Below are 9,393 nucleotides of genomic sequence, written 5' to 3'. Positions count from 1 at the left end.
CTTCCATTTGTTTGTGTCCTCTTTTATTTCCTTGAGCAGTGGTTTGTAGTTCTCCTTGAAGAGGTCCTTCACATCCCTTGTAAGTTGGATTCCTAGGTATTTTATTCTCTTTGAAGCAATTGTGAATGGGAGTTCACTCATGATTTGGCTCTCTGTTTGTCGGTTGTTGGTGTATAAGAATGCTTGTGATTTTTGTACATTGATTTTGTATCCTGAGACTTTGCTGAAGTTGCTTATCAGCTTAAGGAGATTTTGGGCTGAGACGATGGGGTTTTCTAGATAAACAATCATGTCGTCTGCAAACACGGACAATTTGACTTCCTCTTTTCCTAACTGAATACCCTTTATTTCCTTCTCCTGCTTGATTGCCCTGGCCAGAACTTCCAACACTATGTTGAATAGGAGCGGTGAGAGAGGGCATCCCTGTCTTGTGCCAGTTTTCAAAGGGAATGCTTCCAGTTTTTGCCCATTCAGTATGATATTGGCTGTGGGTTTGTCATAGATAGCTCTTATTATTTTGAAATACTTCCCATCAATACCTAATTTATTGAGAGTTTTTAGCATGAAGGGTTGTTGAATTTTGTCAAAGGCTTTTTCTGCATCTATTGAGATAATCATGTGGTTTTTGTCTTTGGCTCTGTTTATATGCTGGATTACATTTATTGATTTGCGTATATTGAACCAGCCTTGCATCCCAGGGATGAAGCCCACTTGATCATGGTGGATAAGCTTTTTGATGTGCTGCTGGATTCGGTTTGCCAGTATTTTATTGAGGATTTTTGCATCAATGTTCATCAAGGATATTGGTCTAAAATTCTCTTTTTTGGTTGTGTCTCTGCCCGGCTTTGGTATCAGAATGATGCTGGCCTCATAAAATGAGTTAGGGAGGATTCCCTCTTTTTCTATTGATTGGAATAGTTTCAGAAGGAATGGTACCAGTTCCTCCTTGTACCTCTGGTAGAATTCGGCTGTGAATCCATCTGGTCCTGGACTCTTTTTGGTTGGTAAACTATTGATTATTGCCACAATTTCAGAGCCTGTTATTGGTCTATTCAGAGATTCAACTTCTTCCTGGTTTAGTCTTGGGAGAGTGTATGTGTCGAGGAATGTATCCATTTCTTCTAGATTTTCTAGTTTATTTGCGTAGAGGTGTTTGTAGTATTCTCTGATGGTAGTTTGTATTTCTGTGGGATCAGTGGTGATATCCCCTTTATCATTTTTTATTGTGTCTATTTGATTCTTCTCTCTTTTTTTCTTTATTAGTCTTGCTAGCGGTCTATCAATTTTGTTGATCCTTTCAAAAAACCAGCTCCTGGATTCATTGATTTTTTGAAGGGTTTTTTGTGTCTCTATTTCCTTCAGTTCTGCTCTGATTTTAGTTATTTCTTGCCTTCTGCTAGCTTTTGAATGTGTTTGCTCTTGCTTTTCTAGTTCTTTTAATTGTGATGTTAGGGTGTCAATTTTGGATCTTTCCTGCTTTCTCCTGTAGGCATTTGGTGCTATAAATTTCCCTCTACACACTGCTTTGAATGCGTCCCAGAGATTCTGTTATGTGGTGTCTTTGTTCTCGTTGGTTTCAAAGAACATCTTTATTTCTGCCTTCATTTCGTTATGTACCCGGTAGTCATTCAGGAGCAGGTTGTTCAGTTTCCATGTAGTTGAGCGGCTTTGAGTGAGATTCTTAATCCTGAGTTCTAGTTTGATTGCACTGTGGTCTGAGAGATAGTTTGTTATAATTTCTGTTCTTTTACGTTTGCTGAGGAGAGCTTTACTTCCAACTATGTGGTCAATTTTGGAATAGGTGTGGTGTGGTGCTGAAAAAAATGTATATTCTGTTGATTTGGGGTGGAGAGTTCTGTAGATGTCTATTAGGTCTGCTTGGTGCAGAGCTGATTTCAATTCCTGGGTATCCTTGTTGACTTTCTGTCTCGTTGATCTGTCTAATGTTGACAGTGGGGTGTTAAAGTCTCCCATTATTAATGTGTGGGAGTCTAAGTCTCTTTGTAGGTCACTCAGGACTTGCTTTATGAATCTGGGTGCTCCTGTATTGGGTGCATAAATATTTAGGATAGTTAGCTCCTCTTGTTGAATTGATCCCTTTACCATTATGTAATGGCCTTCTTTGTCTCTTTTGATCTTTGTTGGTTTAAAGTCTGTTTTATCAGAGACTAGGATTGCAACCCCTGCCTTTTTTTGTTTTCCATTGGCTTGGTAGATCTTCCTCCATCCTTTTATTTTGAGCCTATGTGTGTCTCTACACGTGAGATGGGTTTCCTGAATACAGCACACTGATGGGTCTTGACTCTTTATCCAACTTGCCAGTCTGTGTCTTTTAATTGCAGAATTTAGTCAATTTATATTTAAAGTTAATATTGTTATGTGTGAATTTGATCCTGTCATTATGATGTTAGCTGGTGATTTTGCTCGTTAGTTGATGCAGTTTCTTCCTAGTCTCGATGGTCTTTACATTTTGGCATGATTTTGCAGCGGCTGGTACCGGTTGTTCCTTTCCATGTTTAGCGCTTCCTTCAGGAGCTCTTTTAGGGCAGGCCTGGTGGTGACAAAATCTCTCAGCATTTGCTTGTCTATAAAGTATTTTATTTCTCCTTCACTTATGAAGCTTAGTTTGGCTGGATATGAAATTCTGGGTTGAAAATTCTTTTCTTTAAGAATGTTGAATATTGGCCCCCACTCTCTTCTGGCTTGTAGGGTTTCTGCCGAGAGATCCGCTGTTAGTCTGATGGGCTTTCCTTTGAGGGTAACCCGACCTTTCTCTCTGGCTGCCCTTAACATTTTTTCCTTCATTTCAACTTTGGTGAATCTGACAATTATGTGTCTTGGAGTTGCTCTTCTCGAGGAGTATCTTTGTGGCGTTCTCTGTATTTCCTGAATCTGAACGTTGGCCTGCCTTGCTAGACTGGGGAAGTTCTCCTGGATAATATCCTGCAGAGTGTTTTCCAACTTGGTTCCATTCTCCACATCACTTTCAGGTACACCAATCAGACGTAGATTTGGTCTTTTCACATAGTCCCATATTTCTTGGAGGCTTTGCTCATTTCTTTTTATTCTTTTGTCTCTAAACTTCCCTTCTCGCTTCATTTCATTCATTTCATCTTCCATTGCTGATACCCTTTCTTCCAGTTGATCGCATCGGCTCCTGAGGCTTCTGCATTCTTCACGTAGTTCTCGAGCCTTGGTTTTCAGCTCCATCAGCTCCTTTAAGCACTTCTCTGTATTGGTTATTCTAGTTATACATTCTTCTAAATTTTTTTCAAAGTTTTCAACTTCTTTGCCTTTGGTTTGAATGTCCTCCCGTAGCTCAGAGTAATTTGATCGTCTGAAGCCTTCTTCTCTCAGCTCTTCAAAATCATTCTCCATCCAGCTTTGTTCTGTTGCTGGTGAGGAACTGCGTTCCTTTGGAGGAGGAGAGGCGCTCTGCATTTTAGAGTTTCCAGTTTTTCTGTTCTGTTTTTTCCCCATCTTTGTGGTTTTATCTACTTTTGGTCTTTGATGATGGTGATGTACAGATGGGTTTTCGGTGTAGATGTCCTTTCTGGTTGTTAGTTTTCCTTGTAACAGACAGGACCCTCAGCTGCAGGTCTGTTGGAATACCCTGCCATGTGAGGTGTCAGTGTGCCCCTGCTGGGGGGTGCCTCCCAGTTAGGCTGCTCGGGGGTCAGGGGTCAGGGACCCACTTGAGGAGGCAGTCTGCCCGTTCTCAGATCTCCAGCTGCGTGCTGGGAGAACCACTGCTCTCTTCAAAGCTGTCAGACAGGGACACTTAAGTCTGCAGAGGTTACTGCTGTCTTTTTGTTTGTCTGTGCCCTGCCCCCAGAGGTGGAGCCTACAGAGGCAGGCAGGCCTCCTTGAGCTGTGGTGGGCTCCACCCAGTTCAAGCTTCCTGGCTGCTTTGTTTACCTAAGCAAGCCTGGGCAATGGCGGGCGCCCCTCCCCCAGCCTCGTTGCCGCCTTGCAGTTTGATCTCAGACTGCTGTGCTAGCAATCAGCGAGATTCCGTGGGCGTAGGACCCTCTGAGCCAGGTGTGGGATATAGTCTCGTGGTGCGCCGTTTCTTAAGCCGGTCTGAAAAGCGCAATATTCGGGTGGGAGTGACCCGATTTTCCAGGTGCGTCCGTCACCCCTTTCTTTGACTCGGAAAGGGAACTCCCTGACCCCTTGCGCTTCCCAGGTAAGGCAATGCCTCGCCCTGCTTCGGCTCGCGCACGGTGCGCACACACACTGGCCTGCGCCCACTGTCTGGCACTCCCTAGTGAGATGAACCCGGTACCTCAGATGGAAATGCAGAAATCACCCGTCTTCTGCGTCACTCACGCTGGGAGCTGTAGACCGGAGCTGTTCCTATTCGGCCATCTTGGCTCCTCCAAATCTTAGCTTCTTTATTCCTGATACCATTGGACAAACCTAGGACATATTCCTTTCTCTTTCCCAGAGATCACAGCCAGGTTCTACATTTAGAAACCGAAGGTCACAAGAAAGCTCTCAGAAACATCCCAGGGATCCACGACAATAGGAACAGCCATCCGCAGGACATAAATCTTCTCCCGTGCTCTTCTATTCGAGCAGGTTTCCTTTTGTATCATCAGCACATCGGGCAGCACGTTTCAGGAGGATTGTTAGACACTCTCAACCTCCATCGTGTGTCTTGCAGAAGAGCCAGCGTGCACAACAATTCTTTACTATGCAATGCCTGTCAGTTCTTATTTATTAGCTTCTTGCCCTGGATATTTTCATAATTACCATTTAGCTAATGTGGCCCTAGAAGTGGAGACATCCTGGGAATCACAAGCCCAGGAAAGCCTCACCTTTGCCCCCTATGGACTCATATGACAGCAGGGCAGCCAGAAAGGATACTGTCCTCAGGGTCTTCCGGTCTAAACAGTGGAAATCTTCCTTCCTTAGACCTATATGAGATAAGGAAAATGGCAACGGAATCCTCATAGCCATGTATTTCTTTGAATCGCTAGGTGGGTCTACTAGGGAGAGTTTGCTTAAAGTTTAACATGTGATATGGTTTGGCTCTGTGTCTCCACCCAAATCTCATCTGGAATTGTAATCCCCAGGTGTCAAGGGAGGGGAGTGGTGGGAGGTGATTGGATCATGGAGGCGGTTTCCCCCATGCTGTTCTCGTGATAATGAGGGAGTTCTCACGAGATCTGATGGTTTAAAAGTGGTGGTTTCCCCCTGTGCTCCCTCTCCTGCCGTCTTGCTTTCCCTTCGCCTTCCACCATGATGTAAGTTTCCTGAGGCGTCCCCACCATGAGGAACTGTGACTCAGTTAAACCTCTTTCCTTTGTAAATTACTCAGTCTCAGATAGCATCTTTACAGCATTGTGAGAATGGACTAACACAGCATGATTCTTCTGTGATAAAGTAATAGTACCCTTAGTCATTTTAAATCTTTCCAGGACAATATTCTTAAATTTAAGGAGAATAGTGCTTTAACATTTTCAAAGCATTTTTGCAAATAATATTTCATTTTACTAATAGCTGTACACTCAATGTGGAAGAATAAAATGGGGAGAAGCCTCGGTATTTTCTTCTTCGGTCCCATATAAAACACACACCTTAGGCATATTTTTCCTTTGTTGATGGCTTTTAAAAGTCAGTGTTTAGCTTTCTAAAGTATTCTCTGTGCTTGGAATAAAAATCAAAACTTCTTCCTATGGCCCTACCTTCCTCTCTGACTATTCTCATCTCGCATCACTCCTCCACTCTCTTCCTGTTTCTCCACGACATTAAGCCCATTCCAGCCTCAGGGACTTTGCACTTAACCGTTTGCTTTGCATGTAACGCTAACTCCATGTCTTCATGTGACTGTGGCTTGGTCTTTCAGATCTCAGCTCAAATGTCACCTCTCAGAGAAGCCTCCCTGATCTCTCTAATATTACCCATTCCTCTACCCTGATTTCCTAGCTCACAATCTGAAATTGTCTTCTATGTATTTGTTTAACACGGGTTTCTCCCACTGGAATGTAAGCTCCAAGAGAACTTGAAAAAACATCAACTTTAGGGTAGATTTCTCTATGTGCTTAAAAGTTGCATATTTACATTTGTTTCAAATAATCTGTGTGTTGATTTTTTCTTTAATTCAGCAGAAGGTCTTTAATCTAGTTAGTGTAACTGAGATTTTGCCATATAAATGATTTTTTCTTCATCCCATTTGGATTTCAAAGCCACTGATAAACCTTTTTTTGGAGTGATCCTAATGGAATTAATCAAATTTAAGGAGATGTTGACTTAAAATCTTTATTAGTGGAAAGAAAAGAATATTAATAAAAGGCTAAACCACTGCATCTTGCATCCCTAAAAGGATTATTTTAAATTCAATTTTTGCACTGTTATTATTAAAGCAGTTCACTCAACCAGTCACTAGGTTTGAACTTTGATTTGAATCGAGGTTTGCAGGGCTTCCATCAAATCTCTGCTAAATCCAGCTTCGGAGAGGAGCAGTTAAGTGTAACTGCAGCCAAGGTTAGAAACCTTGGCTCACAACACTTGGCCTTGACCAGCAGGTACCAATGGCAATTCTGTACACTGAGGACTAGCCAGGGCCAGAAGAAAGGAAGTTGAAATTAGAACAGGCAGATTTCAATCTAATATAGAGAACAAATTCCTACAGGAAGCAAGAGGCCTAATAAGTGATTAGAGAAATGATCAAAACCTCTGGAGGGATTACAATCAGGATAAACCTTCCCTGATCCCTGAAGTTCTTGAAGACTGTGTCTGGTTCATCTTTGTAGCTCCTTTTAGTACCTAACGCATACTGGGTACTCAAGGTATATGTAGCAGATTGAGTTAGAACAAGTGTGGAGAATAGGCCTAACTTGTAATCTTCATGAGGGCGGGGCCATGTCTTTCTAGTTCTTCACTGTCTGCTCAGGACTTAGCATAGTCGAAGATGCTTAGTAGTAGTCTGTTGAATGAAAAACATCAGTGGATGAATAAACTGGTCAATGAATGAATGGGCCACATGGGCCCTATAGGACTTAAATGCTTGATAACTCTTCATAGGTAGAAATCCTACCTCCATCCCTATGTTTCCTTCTTGATCTCTATAGCTTCTTGCAGAAAGCAAAGTATCTTGGCCTCCTTCTTCCACCCCTCTATATCCACTCTGAAACAGAGAAGTATAGGCACCTCTGAAGTTGCTCTTGAGAAAATCTCCCTCCTCATCAAAGTTCACAAAACATTATATCATTAAGCCACTACCACTTAGTGCTCTGCTAGATGCTCTAGAAAATGCTAGAAAGAGCAGCAGCTTCCTGGGGTCTGGGAGTTAATGGTTTGAAGACATCTGACAGATGTGGCACATGTAGTGCCCACTCTCTCTGATCCCTTCCCTGAAATTCTCATTCTCCTTGAAAACCCAGTTTGCCTTTTTCAAGGAGAAAAAGAAAGCAGTGTTAACAGGAGGCCGCCCACCTCTCGGGTTGCTCCTGCCCCTACAAGCCCTGCTGGCTGCTCTTGTGTCCCTGTCTTGCTTTACATGTGAACAGATGTATTTACATGAGGGCAGATTCAAAGTCAGATGATGTATTAGTTTATTTTGTGTTGTTATAAAGGAATACCTGAGACTGGATAGTTTACAAAGAAAAGAGGTTAATTTGGCTTATGGTTCTACAGGCTGTACAAACATGGCACCAGCATCTACTTGGCTTCTGATGAGGCCGCAGGAAGCTTTTACTTATGGCAGAAGGCGAAGAGGGTACAGGCATGTCCCATGGCGAAAGAGGGAACAAGAGAGAGAGGGGAGAGGTGCCAGGCTCTTTAAACAACAAGCTCTCTCATGAACTAATAGAGTGAGAACTCACTCATTACTGCAAGGACAGTGTGAAGCCATTCATGAGGGATCCACCCAGATGACCCAAACAGCCTCCACTAGGCCTCCCTCCAACAATGGGGGTCACATTTCAACATGCAATTTGGAGGGGACACACATCCAAACCATAGCAGATGGTATCTGAGACACTGATTTTCTCCCCAGCTTTGGCCATCAGAGGTAGACAGTGAGGCTCCTGGGAAGGTGGGGGAGGCACTTTCCAGGTTGGGCATAATCACAATGCAGCTGCTATGGCAGCAGAAGGAACTTCACTGAGAGTCCTCTCTCTGTACTTTAGCCAAGTTCCACCTCTAAACACTGGAAACGTTCTATGCTTCCACTGCCAGTTCTGAAGCCCACAAGGGTCAGGTTACAGGAGGTAAGGTTCTTCCCAGCTCCTAGAGTCTGACTCTACTCATGCTTGAAAACATCTTATCCTCTGATTATTGCCTCTAGTGGGTCATCCTGTCTGGGGCCAAGTCTCTACTAAGATCATAATTTAATGCAGCTTTAGCCACAGCTATGAGGACTCCATTTTCAATGTGTTCACTGCCGGAATAAAGGTTCCAGCTGTGCCCAAAATATATATGGCTTACATTAGAGAAAGTTCACCTTCCTGCACAAGAACATTAGGTATACAGGTTCAGGTAGCTCTAAGATGAGAAGTAGTGTAGGGTGTATTTGTATTAAATATGTTTTCTAAAATTAACTGCTAAAATAATTTAATGATGGTGTTAAGGAAAATTTAAAGTTACACGTAATACTACTATTCTAACAAGCCTAGTTGATATATGCATACGTAATTTTTACATATTTTTTAACATAATGACTATATATAAGCATTCATTTGCTTTTTCCATGTAATGGTATATCATATGCATTTCTCCATGTTTCTATGTTGTCTTTGTAAATACTATCTATGTTTTTCTAAAGTAGAAGAGTCTATAAAATTTAAACCACCTATTAAATGAGAGACTATAAATATAAATCTCTTATAATTGAAACACGTCTAGGCAATAGGAAAAAATGACATCTGAAATACGCACAACTGTGAGATGGCAGAAGAAAACTGAATAAAAGATACACTAGATGCTCTTAACTAAAAGCATGAGCACTGGATGCTATTAAGTAGCTTTAGGACCTCTGGAAAACTAATCTCTTTCATTTGCCTTAGTTTCATCAACGTGACAAGGAGGGTAGAGTTGGGTGAACTTTAAATCCCTTCCTGCTTTAAAGTTTTATGTTTATTCCTTAAAGCAACTTTCTTCTGAGGAATACAAAGAACTCTGGGTACTTCAACTTACTCTTTAAAGGAGTGGTCCAGTGGAAATACATTGGATGTGTGCCACATTCTCCATTTTTGGGAACTGACCTCCCCAATATGCATATGATTTAAGTAGCAGGTTCCAGGCAGCCATGCTCGCTCGGGGTGGCCTGAACTCCCTAGCCACAGCTGTTAGTTCCAGAAGTGGGTGAAACAATCAGAATTCTCTCCCTGGGAATCTGGAATTGAGATCCTAAAGAGATTCTGTCTCTACCCAGGTTGTTGGACC

General features: G+C 42.3%; 1 protein-coding gene and 1 long non-coding RNA gene across 16 annotated transcripts in view, besides 1 other annotated feature; both read right to left on the bottom strand.

The window, feature by feature from the left end:
- FTO (FTO alpha-ketoglutarate dependent dioxygenase) overlaps positions 1-9,393 on the bottom strand; it is a 417,979-nt gene that overhangs the window by 75,462 nt on the left and 333,124 nt on the right. For 2 of the 15 annotated variants that reach the window (XM_047434606.1, NM_001438128.1), the window contains exon 9: positions 6,254-7,135. The exons of the other annotated variants lie outside the window; for them this stretch is intronic. In XM_047434606.1, coding sequence (XP_047290562.1) covers positions 7,054-7,135 — 82 coding nt within the window. In that variant the 3' untranslated portion in view covers positions 6,254-7,053. Of the gene's footprint in view, positions 1-6,253; positions 7,136-9,393 lie in introns of those variants that run through there. 15 annotated transcript variants of the gene reach the window in all.
- Positions 5,649-5,943: a silencer, noted in NCBI's record as "tiled region #2551; K562 Repressive non-DNase unmatched - State 24:Quies". NCBI's record gives its function as "represses a minimal TATA promoter and a strong SV40 promoter by Sharpr-MPRA in K562 cells {active_cell/tissue: K562}" and the evidence as "EXISTENCE:reporter gene assay evidence [ECO:0000049][PMID:27701403]".
- Positions 6,107-7,087, bottom strand: FTO-IT1 (FTO intronic transcript 1). The gene is made up of 2 exons (NR_103838.1): positions 7,046-7,087; positions 6,107-6,934 (listed from the first exon to the last, which is right to left on the bottom strand). It is a non-coding gene; the product is annotated as an FTO intronic transcript 1 (long non-coding RNA).

The sequence above is a fragment of the Homo sapiens genome, chromosome 16, assembly GCF_000001405.40.
Source record: "Homo sapiens chromosome 16, GRCh38.p14 Primary Assembly".
NCBI classification, from domain to species: Eukaryota; Metazoa; Chordata; class Mammalia; order Primates; family Hominidae; genus Homo; species Homo sapiens.
Note: the sequence above shows the minus strand (reverse complement) of the source record. Positions and strands in the feature narration are given on the sequence as shown.